We start from the raw sequence: 20,376 nt of genomic DNA, 5'->3' as shown, positions 1-20,376 counted from the left end.
AATTAGGGGCATGGGCTATTTTTCCAAAAGGAAAAGCAGTTATTATCCATTTGAATTGTAACTGCTTGGCTTGTGGTAGGATATCTTAAGAATGTATTACAAAATCGGAATCTGTGTGATTTTTAAATACAATTTATAGAAGGTATAAAGAATCGTGCTATAGCTAGCACCCATGTTCCCACCTTCCCAGTTTAAGAAGCTGGCATGTTATTATCTCCTCTGATGTAACTGGCAGATTCTAAGAAGTATGAAAGACAACTCTCATCTCAGAGTCTCTAAATACAAGGTGTAGTCAGTTAAAACTGGCCATGATCTGTGTAAACTTCAGAAAAAAATGTGTCTGAGGTGCCCCCATTCCTCTTGTCATAGGACACCCACCTACCTTCAAAAGTTCCCAAGTCAGCTCATTTTTAAACATAATATTTCTGACTATGTGCCAGAGGACCTCGTGTTATCCTCAGGAGTGAGACTCCCCTGTCCATGCAAACCCAGCCTTCCCATCTCTGACTTACTGCCAATGCGCTCTTCCATTGCATAGTCCACCCCATTCTCCAAGCTCAGTACCATCATGGTGCAGCAGTAATACTGGGGGAGGTGGTGAGAAACTGGAGTCCCAGAAACCCCAACCCCGTGGAATGTCTCTGATGGAGGATGACCCTGTGAATGCCCAAAACAGAACTACTTACGAACATTGAAAACACACTAGCTAGACTGGCCAGACACATGTAACCTAAGAGAAACCTTCCAGACTTCTCTCCTGGAACCTCCTCAAAATCTCTCCACAAGCATGCTACTGGGATGAACTTTCCCCCATAGTAACTCCAGCCTGCCAATGCCAGAACCAGTAAAAATCTCTGACAGCATTCAGTGGATCCATTTTCTCAGAAGAGTCACATCTTTCACATATCTTGCTGTCCGTCTCAGCATTTTAGAAGATAATGATGAGTCCTAAATCTTGCTTTCAGTGAAAGGAGTCCAGTCCTGTGATAAATTGGCTAAGAAAAGGACTCCGTGTTTGAAGTTTAGTTCTCAATGATAATTATTATTAATGCAACCATCTATTGATTGGTTGTGGACACTTAAAATACTTTTAATTAATGTTGCCATTAATTAATGTTAAAAGCATTTAACTTGCATCCATCAACTGATAAATGGATAAACAAAATGAAGTATATCCATACAATGGACTATTATTCAACCACCAAAAGGAATGAAGTACTGATACATTAATGCAGTGTCTACATGGATACCTTGAAAATATTATGCTAAGTGAAAGAAGCCAGATGCAAAGGAACATATATTACATGATTCTGTAATATCTAAATTATGAAATATCCAAATCAGGCAAATCCAGAGAGACAAAGCAGATTAGTGTTTGCCAGGGGCTGGGGATGGAAGGAAGCAGGAGTGGCTGCTTAATGGATGTACGTTTCCTTTGGGGATAATGAAAAGTTCTGAAACTAGATAGTGGCAATGGTTGCACAACATTGTAAACATACTTAATATCACTAAATCACACACCTTAAGATGGCTAACATGGTAAACTTTATGTTATATGCATTTTACCACAAGTTTTTAAAGGAAGGATCTAACCTCTGGGTGTCTGTTTCCTCAACTACATTCTTGAATCTATCTTCTCTGATATGTTACAGGAAATATATAATAAACTACTTTGTGACAATCTTTGCAGATGGAAATGTGTATGTAAGTGGAATGTAAGAACCACTGTGCTAAGCACACACTCAATGGCCAAAACCACCCAGGACACCAGGACACTGGGACAAGATATTAAAGGTGGCAGCTGCACCCCCACCATGGATCACACAATCCCTCAATTTTCTCATTCTCTCTCCACCCCCACCTCTGAAGCAGCTCTTAAGATAAACTGCTAGTCACAATTTACAATCGGAATACTATTTAGAGACAGAAACAGGCAGTTGTGCTTGTTCCTAATGTATTCTAGGTACTTGATATGCTGAGAGCACAGGACAATTTTTTCACACGGTTGAACTCCTTAGGGCCTGTCTTCTAGACCATTTCATTGGTTTAAAATACAACGTTGCTCAAGCATTGTGAAGTCGGCCTGTGTGCCTGGTGGGGAAAGAAGGGCAATTTGGTTCACCGTGCAGAAATTTTTCTTTTATTTAAATCGTTTAGATTTCAGACTACATCTTTTATTTCTTCCAGCAACAAGCATTAGCAAGTCACTTGCCTCTCTGTTTCTCGGAATGAAGACTAGAAATCTTAATACAAAACATTAACTCAGTGGGCCGGTCTGGCAGAGTAATAGATCTTCGGAACTGCGGTGGCAAAGCCTGCCTGGGCTTCCTCAAGTCACAATAAAGCACTATAATTCTTTTATTGAACCAAGAGCATTTAAGTCACAAATATATCTATGCAGAAAGCAATTGTGGCAGCTCCTCAAATTGATGACTGAAGGAACCCTTCAGAACCAGCACTGATGGGCCCTGCACTAAAGGTGAAAATAATAGGGTAAATTAGAAAAAACTGCTCAGACCCAGAGCAATCAATGACACTGGAATTGCTTATTTGAGCTGCGATGGCTCTTATTTCACATGCAAAGCACACTGCATTAGCGAGCAGATGGTATCTTCCTTTTCCTTGGTGGACTTCCTAGGGTTTTCAAAGATCCTTGCCCGAATTAGTTCACTTTCTCCAGCCAGCACAATAAGGCTTCAGCTAGCTGACATGCCTGAACACAAAGAAAAATGAATCCCCACAGATAAGCACAACCATTTATTGAACTTAGAAGAAAAGAGAAATAAAAAGAATGGTTTGGACATCAATAGAGTCAATACCTTCCAATATCATTTTTAATCCCTGAAAACTCATAAAATCCTAAATGTGGGAGGGATACCAGAGGTCAACTATTCAACATGCTAGATTAATTATCTATTGCTACATAACAAATTACCCTAATATTTTGTGGCTTGAAACAGCGTTTATCATCTCACAGTTTCTGTAGGTCAGGAATCTGGGTGTGACTTAGCTGGGTCCACTGCTTTAAGGTCTCTCACAGGTTGCAATCTTGGTGAGATCACAGGGGCTGTGGTCATCTGAAGTCTTGACTGGGGAAGGATCTGCTCCCCAGCTTGCTCAAGAGACTGTTGACAGGAGTAGATCCTCCTGGGCTGTTAGATTGAGGGTCTCAGTTCCTCACAAATTGATGGCCAGAGACCTCCCTTTGTTCCTTCTCATGAGAGCCTCTCCAAATGGCAGCTTGTAATATGGTGGCTGGCTTTGTTACAGAAAAGGGGTCCTGATCTAGACCCCAAGAGAGGGTTCTTGGATCTTGCACAAGAAAGAATTCAGGGCAAGTCCGCAGTGCAAAGCAAAAGCACGTTTATTGAGAAAGTAAAGTAGGGCCGGGCATGGTGGCTCACACCTGTAATCCCAGCACTTTGGGAGGCCAAGGTGGATGGATCATGAGGTCAGGAGAGCGAGACCATCCTGGCTAACACGGTGAAATCCCATCTCTACTAAAAATACAAAAAATTAGCTGGGCATGGTGGCGGGTGCCTGTAGTCCCAGCTACTCGGGAGGCTGAGGCAGGAGAATGGCGTGAACCCAGGGGGGCAGAGCTTGCAGTGAGCCGAGATCACACCACTGCATTCCAGCCTGGGCGACGGAGCGAGACACCGTCTCAAAAAAAAAAAAAAAAGAAAGTAGTGGCTGGGCATGGTGGCCCACACCTGTAATCCTGGCACTTTGGGAGGATGAGGTGGCCAGATCACTTGAGATCAGGAATTTAAAACCAGCCTGGCCAACATGGTGAAACCCTGCCTCTACTAAAAAAAAAAAAAAAAAAAAAAAAAATTAGCTGGGTGTGGTGGCAGGCACCTGTAATCTCAGCTACTTGGGAGGCTGAGGCTGGAGAATCTCTTGAACCCATGAGACAGAGGTTGCAGTGAGCTGAGATCCTGCCACTGCACTCCAGCCTGGGCAACAGAGCAAGACTCCATCTCAAAAAAAAGAAAAAAAAAAAAAGTAAAGTAGAGAAAGAACAGCTACTCCATAGACAGAGTAGGGTGTTCCCAAAAGTAAGAGGAGGAATGCATCCACCCTAGGTACAATGTTCGTGTATATAGGATAAAAAAAGATTATGGGGAGATATGCTCTGCTACAAGAGTTTGTGACAAAGGATTAATTTTCTTAATTACTCATTTTGTAAGAATTAATATTATTATCTTTAAAGCAAAATTAGAATGCCTTCGTTCTCAAGATATCAGGATATTAGGACACTCCCAAGTCTGGGTCTGTTTAGTAAACATTATCAATCTGTTCCCTTAACTGTAAACATCTAGAGGCTCTGAATGCCTGACTTTCTGGGAATGCAGCCCAGCAAGTCCCAGCCTCATTTTTCCTAGCCCTCACTCAAAATGGAGTCACTCTGGTTTGAACACTTCTGACAGCTTCATCAAGTAAGCAAAGGAAAGGACAAGAGAGAGAATGAGAGCAAAACAGAAGTTACACTCGTATGCAAACTAGGCTCAGACGTCATATCCCATCACTGTCTATTCACTTAGAGAAGGTCATTAGATGCAACTCACACTTAAGAGGAAAGGATTCCATAAGGGCATGCATACTAGGAAGTGGGGTCATTGGGTGCCATCTCAGAGGCTGCTTGCCACCTGTGCCACCTGTACCTAGTTGACACTTCTGTCTCCTCCACAGCATCCTCACCAGTTTCTGCTTTAACTTCTCCTGCCATGGGGAGACTCACTGCCTCCTGAGGCATCCAGTTCATTCCATTTCAGAACCCTAACTACTTAAGTAGTTCTAATAGTTAACCCACGGTCTGGCCCCTTGAGATTCTGCTAAATACCCAGAAACTCTTAAGAGACCATTGAGTTCAGGATATTTATAAAGGAGATGTTTAGAAATGGGAATTTTGCTCACGAGATGAGCTCTGGGAAGAGAAACGGAACACAGTTATTACAAGGAGAAGTTCTCACACAATCACCTAAGGCAATCTCAACATCACAAATATCACAGGCCACGTATGTAAGGGGAAGGCAAGTACCACGCCCATCCCCCTAATCAGCCCCATCCTGGGTTTTCCAAACCCCTTCTGCGGTGCATATAGGAAATTCTTAAAACAACTCTGCACTGCGCTGTCCTTACAAAGGTTCAAAGGAAGGCTGACAAGGACAGTTGGGTTCTGATGCATCCCAGAGCTATCTGTAAAAGGGGGAGGGAGCAGTGACAAAGCTCTGGTGATAAGTGGAGAAAGGACTTCCAATCAATCAGGAAAGAGAAGAGCTAAAGGACCAGAAGCCTGAGGACACGGTCACATAATAAGCTTCCAAGGTCTTGATTTCCCAAGAGGCTGGGTTGTGACTGGTTGGGAGGGGTTAGATAAGCATGAAAGTGGGGTAGAGACAGGCAGTGGGAAGGGCCAGAGGGGCCAGAGGCCTGTGCCCCACCCAGATTCTATTCATTCCATTTCAGTGGTCACATTAATATTCCTTGTCACACCACACACTTCTGAAGGGCAGAGTACATGTGGGAGATGCGGGTGGGGTGGAGAGGGAGGAGTCATGGGACACACATCATCAGCTTGTTCCTCACTCCATACATCTGGGTTTTCTAAAATTCTGTGAACTCCATCCCGAGGCCTAAAAGAGTGAACAGTAAAATCATTCACTAGCTTGGAGTATGTGTGGCTAAAATCTGACTAAACTAACCGACTTCATCTGATGAATTAGAAAAAAAAATTGATTCAAATAGGCATGGGTTTCAAATGGAAAACTGTAGCAGGAGTACCCTAGAAGCAGATAAAATGCCCCCTAAATCAGTCTGCTCATTTAAAGGTGATCTTTAAGCCATACAATGGGAAGATCGTTGATTGTGGATGTGTTCACTTGTTTCTGTCACTCACTTATTAACTTCCTTCTCTGCCATTTACATTTATATTCTCAGAAATGAGCGGTGACCTCTGCCTTCTGTGCAGTTTTCCCCAGCTTCCAGGCTGATGGTCAGCACCCAACCAGTGAAATTTCAATTTTTGTCTTTGGCTGAATCATAAGGATAAGAAATAAAAAATGCAAGGGCTATACACCAGCTCCTTAAACTCCAGCACTTTTCTATTATGTCCTTGGAGCAAATTCAGCATACTCTCATTTAGCCTCAAATGCTGAGTCACTAGTAGATGATGAACACAAATCCCAACCAACATTATCAATACCAGTGGAGGATTGATGAGAATATATAGGGGTGTAATTCTCCAAGGTGTTCTACTGAGAATCATTAAGCAAACCATCAGCCCTTTAGAGATACATACACAATAGTGTGTACAGGGTATAACAACCCTGCACTCAGATGCCCAAAGTGCACTTTGGCAAATCTGACGTAGTTTGGGAGTACAGGAATATTTGCATGACAAACCTAAATTAACACATGAGCTGTAGGCCGAAGGTTTCCAGAACCTAAGGGGTCTCCAGGCCAGCCAACTGATATCTCCAGTCAAAATGACTGATCTACACTCATGCTTTCCACTCGGGATTCCAGATCTGCAATATAGGTCAAAAAGTCAAGAACGGAGAAGGATATGTTTCAAGATTTACTTTCAAGGAAATCAAGGTGCCTTCAACCAGTTTGATTTAAAATGGAGTCAATCTTCATTCATATATGATGTCATTTCTTTTATGAGTCCCATACCCTGGTTCACAAGGAACTAAGCTAATGATAAAAAAGCATTTTGTCCTTTTGAAAGATGTATACTTTAAAGAAAAACCTACTAGCAAATGAAGAGAAGGGAGCCATGGAATGGCATCTTCCAAAGTCTCTTTTCATCAGAAGTCACACTCTGCAAAATCTCAAAAGTGATATCCCATCACTTTTAGAAGAAAATGTATGGTGGGCTTCTCCAAATGAGGGCTGCAGAAATCCTCATAGTTTGTCTGCTGGTCTTTTGTGAGATTTGAGATTACAATAAAACCAATCTATGCTTCTATTTCTGGCCTGACTTAATAACTTACTAATTGTAATTGACTAAACACCAGGCATCAACTCACACATGTCAAGACTCATTTTTATCACCATTTTGGATCTATTGTGTTCTACAGAGAAGCATGCAGGGAAGAGTCCAATGGGTCACCAAAACATGGCGGACCTGAGATCAATATCACGATCCAAAATATGAAGCCAGATGGCCCGAGAGCCGGGGGAAAGGAGCAGAGAGTTGCAAGTCAAGCAGGCCCTGCAGGATGAGTGAATAAGGTCACTGAGCCTCGACCACTGTGATTGCACACTCTTAGTGATGTGTGAGTGAGCACAGCTCTTCTGAACAGCCACAGTTGGGGCAGTGAATTATTGGATTTTAAAACAGGGCTGATCTCACACCTAGGCCCACTGCCCAAACTAGGTATCTTCATTTCTTGACACCTCTGGTCTCTTTAATCTCTACAATTGGAGTTCATTGCTTTGGGGGGATGACAGAGGGAGGGGCATGAGGCTGTCATCTAAAAATATGAATTTATCTAGATTTAAGTATGATGAAGATGTAAAGGGGCAACATAGCCTATAGCAGCTTGTCTAGCCCATGAGTACACCATCAAACAGGATTGTCCTGAGAAACTGGGCCAGAGAGTTGGCCGATGAACTTTTGAATTTAAATGTCTTGGCCAATGAACTTTGAATTTAAAACATGGACTACAAATAGAACTCAGGGCTTCTGCTTTATAATTCAATGTTCTTTCCAAGACTACCCAACTACCTTGACATGCAAATTGTTAGGATGCAATGCCTCTTTCCATTGCCTTCCAGCCACACATGTGAGATTGTGTCATTTAGAAGCATCCACAAAACTAAGCCCAAGAAACAGAGCAGATAACTATGCTCTTTTATTGAGCAGAGTACCATGTGCCAACGACTATTCCCAGAACTAGAGAGAGCAAGGCAAATAAATAGTTATTCCTGCCCTCAAGGAACTTGCTCTGAGGAGCGGCACATTTACCCCTTTAATGCAGACACCGCGTGGAGATACTAGATACTTTTTTTAAATTGTGGTAAAATACACGTTAACATAAAATTGACCATCTTCACCAATTTTCAAGCGTACAGTTAAGTGGCATTACATGTGTTCACATGGTTGTACAACCATCACCACCCTCCGTCCATAAAACTCTTTCCATCTTGCAAAACTGAAATTCTGCCCAGAGATATGTTTGTAATACTCCGCAGGGACCAGTTTTTCCTTGGCTTCTCTTGAACTGCTGTGGGGTTAATCCCTCAACTACAGGAAATCTAGTTATTTATGGGCTTTGGTATCTTCTCACCCCGGTCACCCCTCCCAGCTCACATGGAAGGGCATCGGGCCCAGCCAACAACCTTTGCCTCAAATCTTTGCGCGTCAGAGGAGACTGATAGCAGAGTCTGTCCCCATCCCTGTGAGTTTGCTTGGACAGATTTCTTCTCTCAACACTGTATTTATTACTGGGGTGTGAAGCACAGATCTGCAGATGCCTTTTCTACTTGCCTGCTGTTAAGAGCTTGCTCAATAATTTAGCTCTCTCTCCCTTAAAGACATTTGGTTTTGGGTTTTTATTGGTGATTGCAGAAGACAATGTGAGATGAGTCCTGCGGTATCCTGGATTCCTCCCACCCTCTCTCCTGCCTCCCTTCTAGTTGGCTCTTGTGAGGTTGGTTTGCAGCTGCAGGAGCAGCGGCTCTTTAACTCTTGGGCAGCCATAACCATCCCTACTCTTTCACATACATAGATAGGACTGTTCTGTCTCCTCATTAGATTATCACAGCAAATTGATGGTTACTTGAAAAAAACAAAAAACAAACAAACAAAAAAAAACCTGTCACAATAGGAGACAAAACACTGGCAACAGATAAAACAAAAGGAGGCACTGAGCTCTTTAATTAAGGTTCATGAAGGCATGTGAATCTTAGCTTCTTGTTACCCTGCTGTGCCTCTGCCTGATTAGCTACAATGCATCTGCTTGGTTTCCTGGTATCCATCTGTACTGCTAGGGAGAAATTTATTCGGGTTGCCCTGATTCTCAATAAGATGACTCAGAGGCATCAGCTGTAGATGGACTAATGGTTATGCATGTTGACAGAGTGTCTCCTGTGCTCCTTGCTGTGTTGATATGCAGAATCACACCACCTTACAAGTACCTGGGATTAACCCATATCCACACAGACAGCCCTAATGAAATGCCTCTCCCAGGAAACCCAAAGAGTTTTAGCATGACTCATTTCACCGTTGTCGTGTTTCAAGTTGGAAGTAGACCTTATCGCGCCCTCTCCACAAACTCCACCTTTCTGTTCTGCAGTGGCTGATGCCACAGAATTCCTCCTTTTGTAGGTTAAAAGGACTGTGAGTATTGGGATGTTTCTGCGCGTGACAATGTAAGAGATGTTTTCATTTCAATGCTGGATGAATGTGTTTGTGCATACAAGGATTCTTTCTCAACAAGAAAAGGGCAGCCAAGACCGAAGCCACCACTATTCAGAGTTGTTTGGGCAGAGAATACTAAAGTTATGTTGGCCCTGAATAATTTCAGGTTCCTCAAAGGACTTATTCACCTCCTTTACAAAACTGAGGATTTCTTTTAAAAGTAGCACTAACTATATGGGCTCTAAAATTCTTTCCTTATATACCATTCTGTGATTCAATAATATGATTGATCCCATAAGCTCAGTTTCATAGAGTTTGAAACAGCCGAGCTGAACCTTCTGCATACACTCAGATATTTAGGACTTAAAAATATTCTCCTAAAACTGATGAAATCTGAATACAGTCTGGACTTTAGTCAATTTTGATTTCTTAGATTTGGCAAATGTTCTGTGGTAATGTTAAGAGGTTAATATCAGTAGAAACTAGGATATAAGCAAACTGTATTATTTTTGAAACTTTTCTGCAATCTAAAATTATTTCAAAATAAAACATTAAAAAATTTTTTTAGCCAGGTGTGGTGGCTCACTCCTGTAATCCCAGCACTTTGGGAGTCCAAGTCGGGCGGATCACCTGAGGGCAGGAATTCTAGACCAGCCTGACCAACATGGCGAAACCTCGTCTTTACTAAAAATACAAAAATTAGCTGGGCATGGTGGTGGGCACCTGTAATCCCAACTACTTGGGAGGCTGAGACAGGAGAATCACTTGGACCCTGGAGATGGAGGTTGCAGTGAGCCGAGATTGTACCACTGCACTCCAGCCTGGGCGACAGAGCGAGAATCCATCTCAAAAACAAATAAATAAATAAAAATATGTTTTTTTCTCACTTGTGTTTAAATAAAAGCAACATTTAGTTGAAACTGGATATTACAAAATAACATTTGCCAGCCCTCCATCTCAGAGAAGACAAGAGAATAGAGAGACATGGTTTTTCTGTAGCTATGAATTTAATGCTAACTTAGGTGATTCAGTCACTCCTTGAGCACTTCTTTCTTCTTCCATTGTAGCAGGAAGGACTTCAGACTTCCTACAGCAATGGAAAAAGTTCTCCAAAGAATTTCAGATTGCATGCTTTGAGCTTTGAGAGTAATACTTGGTGTAAAATACTGAGGATAAGATAAACTGTAGGAGGAATTTCCTTTATAAAATGACCAGTCCAGGAAGCCAAAGTGCAAAGCTTTATAAATACTAATGCTTATTGGAAAGCAGGGATCAAGCGTTGGTTTTGTCACTGCACACAGGATTTCCTACTTGTTCACACCAGTATATAAATTAAACTTAAATCTGATGTCATTATCGTTAGCCTAGCCCTCTCCCTTTTTCTCCACTTCAATACCTTATAGAACTCACAGCAGGCTGAGCGCAGTGGCTCATGCCTGCAATCCCAGCACTTTGGGAGGCCAAGGCGAGTGGATTGCCTGAGCTCAGGAGTTCGCAACCAGCCTGGGCAACATGGTGAAACCCTGTCTCTACTAAAACACACAAAAAAATTAGCTGGGCCTGGCAGCGTGTGCCTGTAGCTCCAGCGACTCGGAGGCTGAGGCAGGAGAATTGCTTGAACCCGGGAGGCGGAGGTTGCAGTGAGCCGAGATCATGCTGCTGCACTCCACCCTGGGTGACAGAGCGATACTCCAAAAAAAAAAAAAAAAAAAGAAAAAAAAAAAAAAGAACTCACAGCAGTAGCTCCATAGGGGACTTAGAGGTGGCCTAATCCATTCTTCCCCTGAGGCCCAGAGGTAGGTTTCAAACTAAACCAGGACACACAGGCAGAAGTACTTTGAATAAAGTGCCTCATAATTATAAGGTACAATTACTATTGATATCATGACCAGCCACTAGGCCAAGTTCACCCAGCTGCTTAGACCATGGAAGATTCTAAACTCCAAAGGGCCTGGCATAGGTCTTCGTAATTTAATTATGGACGGTACTGATTTCCACATGAGGAAATGTTTAATAAATCATCAGCCGATTGTAGTGCAGACTCTTTAATCCCAAACCAGTACAGAGGCTCGTTTTCCTCTTCGGAAAGTCAAGCCTGAAGAGAGAGGGTTTGTTTACCAGGTTGAAAAGGGAGCAGGGAGAAGCCTATATTTATTCCTGGGGGAGAAAAATGTAACTGTTATAAGCTGCTGTGCTTCATCAATTTAAAAGTAATTTTTCTGAATTAAGAGAAAATTGAGTGGGGAAAATGCTTCTTTTCGGAAATTTAATTCCCAACTGAGTATTTATATGCTGATACCCTTTGCAAGTACACACGCAATAAGCTGCTTCGTGCGGCAACGACATCAAACAGGACAGGAAAAAAAGTCGTTCTTTAGACATTTTCCTCAAGACTTACACTTCTCCCCCATCCTCCACTTGTCTTGATCTCTCCAAAACCCAAGCCAACTCCTTCAAAAACAGATCGGGATAAAATAATCAAGTTCCTTGCTGAATATCAACAAAATCCACGAATTTTTGTTGGCAATGAATGGGAATGAAGGAGAACATTTCATTTCATATTTAAAATGTTAAATTGGGTGCTTATAATTCCCCTGATTTAGCTTTTTTAATTTAAAAATTCAAGCTTTATTCAACATTTGCATATTCATGCCTCTATAATGTGCACTGATTGCATTAACGGCGGAGAAAAAGCATGTAAGTGCAGCACAAATATAGTTACTCATCAAGAGTACCATCTATGTATGCATAGATAAATATTTCCAAACAAATTAACATACACACCAGCGCAGGTGCTCTGCCCTCACAGCTCCCTCCAGCTATTTCAGTCTTACTTTTCCTTCCATCAAGTTTCTAGAGCCAGAGCATCAGTTTAGAAATTGGATAATTTAGTGATTGGTAGAATTAGTGGGGCCCTTTTCCAAAGTCAGTGGTCAGAACGACTAAGTCTTTAACCAGCAATAGCTAGAAGAAGAAAAAAACATTCAACCGTACCCTTTATCAAAAACCAAAAGTAGGCTGGGAGCGGTGGCTCATGCCTGTAATCCCAGCACTCTGGGAGGCTGAGGCGGAGGATCACCTGAGGTCAGGAGTTCGAGACCAGCCTGGCTAACATGGTAAAACCCCGTCTCTACTAAAAATACAAAAATTAACTGGGTGTGGCAGAGCGCACCTGTAATCCCAGCTACTTGGGAGGCTGAGGCAGGAGAATCACTTGAACCTGGGAGGCAGAGGTTGCAGTGAGCTGAGATCACGCCACTGCACTCCAGCCTGGGTAATAGAGCGAGATTCTATCTCAAAACAAAATAAAAAACAAAAACAAAAACAAAAAATACAAAAAAAACTAGGCCAGGCACAGTGGCTCACACGTGTAATCCCAGCACTTTAGGAGGCTGAGGCAGGATGACTGCTTTGAGCTCAGGACTTCAAGACCAGCCTGGGCAACATAGCAAGACCTTGTCTCTACTAGCTCTACTAAAAAACCCCCAAAATTAGACAGGCATGGTTGTGTGTGCCTGTGGTCCTAGCTACTCAAGAGGCTGAGGTGGAAGGATTGCTTGAGCCCAGGAGGTCAAAGCTATGGTGAGCCGTGGTCGTGTCACTTCACTCCAGCCTAGACAGAGCTAGACCCTGTCTTAAACACATAAACACACACGCGCGCACACACACACACACAAAAGTAGAGTTTCCATAATTCAACAAAAACCTCCAATAGTTGATAGATAGTTGTTATAGGGAGTTCCCATCCCAGAGAAGTAAATCCTACTGACCAGGGTAGCAGACACTGAATACCCACCACTAAATACCCTCTGGCTTTTAGTTTACAGAATCATGACTTTGTTTGGAAATATGATGTTCCCAGCTCTTCAGAACAGGCCATGTTTTGTTGGCACGAGTTGGCAAATTACCCCTGGGTCAAATCCAGCCCAGCTCTTGGTATTATAAACAAAGTTTTATTGGCATACAGATGTGCCCATTCATTTACTCATTTTCTATAGCTGCTTTTGCACCGCAAGGGCATATTTTAGTAGTTGTGACAGAGACCATATGGCCTGCAAAGCCTACAGTATTTACTATTTGGCCCTTTACAGAAAACATTTGCCAAGTCCCAGTCCAAGCCAATGCCAGCCAGTTTCCCAGCCTCCCTTGCAGCTAGGAAGATGTTGAATTGTATACAGTAGGTAAGGAAGAAGGTGTGGCCAAGGGCTACTCTTGGATAACAGAATAGATGCTAGAAACATTGACTAAAATAGCAGCCATAGAGGAGCACCACATTTGGGGGGTGGAGTAAAGAGAGGAAGATGTAAGTTCAGGACATTAGAATATATGATTTGCTTTGCTGACCACTTTGGTGCCCAAAAAAAAGAGAGAGAGAAAGAAAGAATATATGATTTGAGGTACCTTTGGGATGTCAAGTAAGCACATTGATATACAAATATAGTACTCAGAAACTCAGAAAAGAGGCCTAGACTGAAGATCTCTAAGGTCAATTGCCTATTTAACTTAAAAAAAAAAAAAAGAAAAAACAACTTTTTTGGATCTGATCTCCTGCAAACCAGTAATTCCAATTAAATCCTCTTGACTACGGCCTCTTACTTATAACTCTCTTGGTTTCTATGGCACTAGTCTTTTCTGGTTCTCTTCCCACCTCTCTGACTACCCCTTCTATTTGCTTACATTTTATCCTTCGACACCCAAATTGGGTAATTCCTTCAAGTTTATCATCAGGTTTCTGTGCTTCCCTTGATACTCTCTCCCTGAACATTCTCATCAATCTCACGACTTTCAACCAAATGACTCCTGAATGAACATTTCTAGCCTAGACTTTTCTCTACTTCTTGACTCACTGTTCCCCTCCCACTGCAAATCCCCAAATGGGTGTCGTGTTGGCAATTCAAACTCTATGTACTTAAAATACTTATGTATCCTCCCCCAAAAAAGAGAGAAAACACTGGCCATGGTGTCAGAATCACTGGTTTGGATCACTGGCTTTGAATCATACTAGCTATGTCTGAACTTTCAAAAATGTCTTAATTTATTTCAACTTCGTCATTTCCGTGTGCCTCAAAAGAGGGACAGAGTCCTGTTCATGGGTGTACAAAATGAAGGAGCCGTTGATTCGGAGCAAACGGTGAGGAAAACCTGGAAAGGTATAGGAAAAGATAGTATTTGATCTTGAAAAGTGTGGGAAATTCGAAAATCTGCATGTCATTGTCTTAGAGTCTATCTGATATAAATTCTAGTCTGAGATGGAGCACACTATGACTTCCAGCCCCGTTGGAAAGCCAAGAAGATGGGAACACCATTTTTGCTTTTGCACCTTGCTCCTGGCTACGTTTCCAATTGGTTAGTTCCAACCCCTGCTGTCTTTCATGGCCTGTGCTACTTGGTGCGTATATAACTCACGTTATCTCCTGGCTATTCCTGAACTCTGGGCTTGAAATCAGTGCACATTTATTCTCAGGGTTGCATCTGCTTTTTGAGGGGCTTTAATCTCTCTGGTTTAAAAAACAAAAAAAGGCCCAGCACAGTGGCTCACACCTATAATCCTAGCACTTGGGAGGCCAAGGCAGGCGGATGGCTTGAGTCCATGAGTTCAAGACCAGCCTCAGCCTGGGCAACACAGCAAGACCCTGTCTCTACAAAAAATAGAAAAACTAGCTGGGTGTGGTGGTGCATGCCAATAATCTCAGGAAACTGAGGCAGGAGGATCACCTGAGCCTAGGAGGTCAAGGCTGCAGTGAGCCATGTTCACACCACTGTACTCCAGCCTGGGCGATAGAGTGAAACCCTGTCTCAACAAAGAAACAAACAACTGTAAATGAGCTTTGCAAAGAGGCAGACATTTAGGGTGGGTTTACATCAAATAAAGCAGAGAATGTAAGTGCAACAGCCACAGCTCTCAGGGGTGTTCCCTTGAGGCAGCCAGACAGAAAGCCACTCATGGCCCTTCCCTGCCGAGGCTGACCTCCTCCTGCTGGTCACTGTAGGATGCCACGCTGCAAATGAAGGCCAGTGGGCTTCGCTGGCTCCGCTTCTGTTTCCTATACTAGATTTCCATTTTGTGTTTGCTGAAAAGATCAGCTTCCAGCCTTCACATTCGACCTGAGAGGAGTCCTTTACCAAAAAATGTGTTTTCTCACTTGACAAGCAGCCCAAGGGCAGATTCAGAATGCTTTATTAATCTCCCTTTTCAAATATTTTCAAGGAGGTGATCATTTCAGATATCTGCTCGTGGTGTATTTATTCCTACTCCTCACGTACACGAGAAAGCAAACCAGATATGGGAAAGAAAAAAAATAAATATTTCCAAATCAGCATAGCTCCAAGCAACAGAAAGCAAAGATGGAATTCCTTGTCGCTGTCTCTTGACTTCTGCTTTAGGACTGCGAGCTGCCCAGGAAGATTGAGTTAACACAAAAGCCAAACTCCTCTACGAGAGTCTAGGGCAGAGTTCTCTCTTTGTAGTGACGACTAGGCAGTTCTGCCAGTGAGAGTGGGGCCACAGGCCTGGGATTTGAACAGGAAGTGAGGCCAATCCTAAATGAAATCAAACTGTGAATAAAGGAGGATTAAAATAAAAATTGACAGCATAGTTCACAGAGCCAGTGCCGTGGTGCAGCTGCCTGGAACTCGCTGCCATCATACGCTTTGGACAGGAGACATGAAACACTGCCTGGATAGCTCCTGGCTGAGGAGGTTGTGAGAAGCGCATTTGTCTGCACATTGTGGTGCCTGTGACACCGGGAAGGTAAGAGGGGCTGTGGGAACGTTGACAGGCTGATAGGTTTCTTTGGAAACAGCCCGTAAATGCTGCCAGCAGTGCGGGAAGCTTCATGTTCTAATTCCAAAGCTCTTCTCTCCACGCTTTCTAACCTAGCGATTCGACTCTAGAATAACTCTTTCAGAGAGGACACTGGATTAGGGATCAGGAACTCTAGCTCCAGCCCTCCCTCTGCTCACTTGGATAACCTTGCATGCACAAAATGCTTAACTTCTCCAGGTTCATGTGCTTAAAAGGATATTTTCAGCTTTGGGAGGGAGAGTTGGGGGGGCGGGCAGTGAGAAACTGGGGAGGAGAGAAAGGGAGGGATGGGACTTGGTGCCTGGGTTTCTGGGCCTTGGCTGGACAGGTCCGGGGCCTGGAGGACACAGAAATGTAGAACAGAACCAATACCACTCCAAAAAGGTTTTAGCCCATTTTCCACCATGTTGGTTGAAACATTACTGTAAATAGTAGCGGTTTGACTAGCTGCCCCCAAAAGGATACGTCCCACCAGAACTTGTGAATATGATCTTATTTGGAAAAAGGATTTTTGCAGGTGTAATTAAGGCTGAGATCATCCCGGATGGTCAGTGGGCCCTAAATCCAATGACAGGTGTCCTTATAAAAGAAAGGCAGAAGGAGATTCGACAGACTCAGACACACAGGGAGGAACGTTATGTGAAGACAGAGGCAAAAACTGCAGTTCTGCAGCTCCAGGCCAAAAAAATGCCTGGAGCCATCAGACGCTGGGAGAGGGATGGAAGATTTTTTCCCCTAGAGACTTCAGAGGGCACAGCTCTGCCAACACCTTGATTTCAGACTTCTGGCCCCTAGAACTGAGAGAGAATCAATTGTTTTGTTGTTTAAGCCCCACAGTTGGGGGTGATGTGTATGGCAGCCCTAGGAAACTACTAGGGGACAGCCCAGCATCTCTTTAAAAATACTTTCACCTTCCCCTTGGGGTTTTAAAAACATTCATTTAAACCAGCTTCAATCCCCTATTTATTTATTTATTTATTTATTTATTTATTTTTGAGACAGAGTCTCGCTCTGTTGCCCAGGCTGGAGTGCAGTGGCGCAATCTCGGCTCACGGCAAGCTCCGCCTCCTGGGTTCACGCCATTCTTCTGCCTCAGCCTCCCGAGTAGCTGGGACTTCAGGCGCCCGCCACCACGCCCGGCTAATTTTTTGTATTTTTTAGTAGAGACGGGGTTTCACCGTGTTAGCCAGGATGGTCTCGATCTCCTGACCTTGTGATCCGCCCGCCTCAGCCTCCCAAAGTACTGGGATTACAGGCGTGAGCCACTGCACCCGGCCCAATCCCCAATTTAAACATGAAGCAGGAACATCTCTCTCTAAACGTACTGAACACTGGGGTATTCCCAGAAAGAAGCGATCTCGCCACTTGAGCCCAACTCAGACAAATGCCAACGTGGCAGACATGCTTGACGCTGCTTGGTGCTGGTGCTGGGAGGAGACAGCTTTTCCACCATCGCTTCCTGTCGGAAGGCAGGAGATAGGCTGGCAGGACAGTAAAGATCAGTAGGGAGTTGCTAGCATGAGGTCATTTTTGGTGTGAAAGTGTCATCATTCAAGAGGGTGGTCCTCAGCTAGCATAGGCCCATGTACACTCTGTGGTATAGAGCATGACTACCCGCCATGATGCCTCCAAAAGGATGCTGTCAGTCTCTGTGCAGGCTGGGGACACGGACCATCTTCTACATGGGTGCAAGATGCACCCTCCGGCCTCATTCATCCTTTAATTCAAGAAGAGAACAAAGTTTTCTGAGCCCTGATGGTTGGCCCTGCCTGATTGGCGCTCACCACACCACACTCTCACTCAGATGCCCTTGTGACCCAGGATGCGATTTACAAAAACAATGGCAGACAAGTGGCAGGAAGCAGAGATATGGTGAGGCTCTAGCATATCCTGAAGTTCACTGTTTGACGAGCAACCAAGGAGAGAGACTGCAGTACAAAATATAGATGCTTGCATTTGGCAAGGAAGCTGAGGTGATCACCAATTTAAAATACCCACTAGGCCTTCACTACTGAATTCACCTATCTCAGTATGCTAGGACCAAGAGAACTTTCTACATAGACCTGAATTCAGGTAGAACTTCCTTTCTTAAATTCCTGGGAAATAATATTGACAGCAATCACCTATGCTTCACAATGTACTGGTTTAAGAATAGGGAGCTAGACACTCCTGTAATCCCAGCACTTTGGGAGGCCGAGGTGGGTGTATCACCTGAGATCAGGAGTTTGAGATCAGCCTGACAAACGTGGTGAAACCCTATCTCTACTAAAAATAAAAAATTAGCTCGGCGTGGTGGCTCGTGCTTGTAGTCCCAGCTACTCGGGAAGCTAAGGCAGGAGAATCTCTTGAACTTGGGAAGCGGAGGTTGCAGTGAACTGGTATTGTACCACTGCACTCTAGCCTGGGCGACAGAGTGAGACTCCATCTAAAAAAAAAAAAAAAGAATAGGGAGCTAGAGAAATACTCTTGGAGGCATTTTCCTTGACCATAGAACAAATTATTACCATCTTAACTGCACATTTCAGTTTTGATGAGATGAATGTTTTTATTTTTTAGTTTTAACTGTGGTCAGACACACATAAAGTTTACCTTTTGTTTTTGAGAAAGGGTCTTGCTCTACTGCCCAGACTGCAGTGCAGTGGCACAATCACAGCTCACTGCAAAAATTTACCATTTTAAAGGGTACAATTTAATAGCATTAAGTAACCATTTCAAACTATAGAGTTCAGTACCATTTTAGTGGTTTAATGGTTACCAGCGAAGTAACCATGTTTAAAGTGCACAATTCAGTAGGGTTAAGCACATTCACATTGCTGTATAGCCAATCCCCAGAAGAACTTTTTCATCTTGCAAAACTGAAACTCTACATCCATTTAAACAATAGCTCCCTATTCCCCTCTCCCCTCAGCTTCTGGCAACTATAATTCCACTTCTGTCTCTATGAATTCGACTACTCTGGATATCTCATATAAGTAAAATCACACCATATTAGTCTTGTGACGGGCTTATTTCACTTCACATAATGTCTTCAAGTTTCATGCATGTTGTAGTATGTGTCCAAATTTCCTTCCTTCCTTCCTTATTATTATTTCTTCACTCCTTATTATTCATTCCCTTCCCTTTCAAGGCTCAGTAATACTCCATTTATGTATATGCCACATTTTGTTTACCTATTTATCCCTTGGACATTTGGGTTGTTTCCACCTTTTGGCTATTGTGAATAATGTTGCCATAAACATGGATATACAAACGATGATTTAAATGTTTAATTTTTCTTTAGTGGGTAAAATTCTCCTTGTACTTCTCTTTGCATATTCAGAATCAAAATATACCATCTAATTGTTAGTTATCAATAATCTTGAAGAGATTCCTGGAGGTTTAAATCATGGGGTTCTTCTCATGGGGTCCCTCTCAGCCAAAGATTCTCTCGAAGGAACCCCACTGTACATTGACAAACAATTTCTAGCAGTTATATTCTTGTTTGATCATGAAGAATACATGTAGCCTCTGCCTCTTTGCCAAAGGTTGCTCTTATTCACACATCAGAACTGGAATTGATTTCTGTCTTCTACTTACACACATTTATAACTCCTGTGGCAAATACTACAGTATTTCTAAGTAATTTAAGACATTGTTTCTTGAAACTTGACTCCTTGGGTCATCCTAGTGAATTTTGAATGGACTTCTGTAAGGGGAAAGCTATACTCCTCATCCTTGAATTCCCATGGGGGCCGGGCACGGTGGCTCACGCCTGTAATCCCAGCACTTTGGGAGGCCAAGGCGGGTAGATCACGAGGTCAGGAGATCGAGACTATCCTGGCTAACATGATGAAACCCCATCTCTACTAAAAATACAAAAAATTAGCCGGGCGTGGTGGTGGGCGCCTGTAGTCCCAGCTACTTGGGAGGCTGAGGCAGGAGAATGGCATGAACCCAGGAGGCGGAGCTTGCAGTGAGCCGAAATTGCGCCACTGCATTCCAGCCTGGGCAACAGAGCGAGACTCTGTCTCAAAAAAAAAAACACCAAAAAACAAAAAACAAAACAAAAACAAAAACAAAGAATTCCCATGGGTTCCTCTACTACCTCAACCTCGCCTGAAATAGAGATTTGAGGGCCCACATTTCCCCAAAACATGTTCTTTTAAAAAATAACTTATTTCTTTACTTTTTCAACTTTTACTAAGATTCAGCAGGTACA

General features: G+C 43.1%; 2 annotated features.

Moving 5' to 3' along the window:
• Positions 10,369–10,873: an enhancer, noted in NCBI's record as "H3K4me1 hESC enhancer chr6:21276319-21276823 (GRCh37/hg19 assembly coordinates)". NCBI's record gives its function as "activates a minimal SCP1, AML or CMV promoter by ChIP-STARR-seq in naive H9 embryonic stem cells {active_cell/tissue: H9 hESC(naive)}" and the evidence as "EXISTENCE:reporter gene assay evidence [ECO:0000049][PMID:30033119]".
• Positions 10,874–11,378: an enhancer, noted in NCBI's record as "H3K4me1 hESC enhancer chr6:21275814-21276318 (GRCh37/hg19 assembly coordinates)". NCBI's record gives its function as "activates a minimal SCP1, AML or CMV promoter by ChIP-STARR-seq in naive and primed H9 embryonic stem cells {active_cell/tissue: H9 hESC(naive and primed)}" and the evidence as "EXISTENCE:reporter gene assay evidence [ECO:0000049][PMID:30033119]".

This window comes from Homo sapiens, chromosome 6 (assembly GCF_000001405.40).
Source record: "Homo sapiens chromosome 6, GRCh38.p14 Primary Assembly".
Classification (NCBI taxonomy): Eukaryota; Metazoa; Chordata; class Mammalia; order Primates; family Hominidae; genus Homo; species Homo sapiens.
Note: the sequence above shows the minus strand (reverse complement) of the source record. Positions and strands in the feature narration are given on the sequence as shown.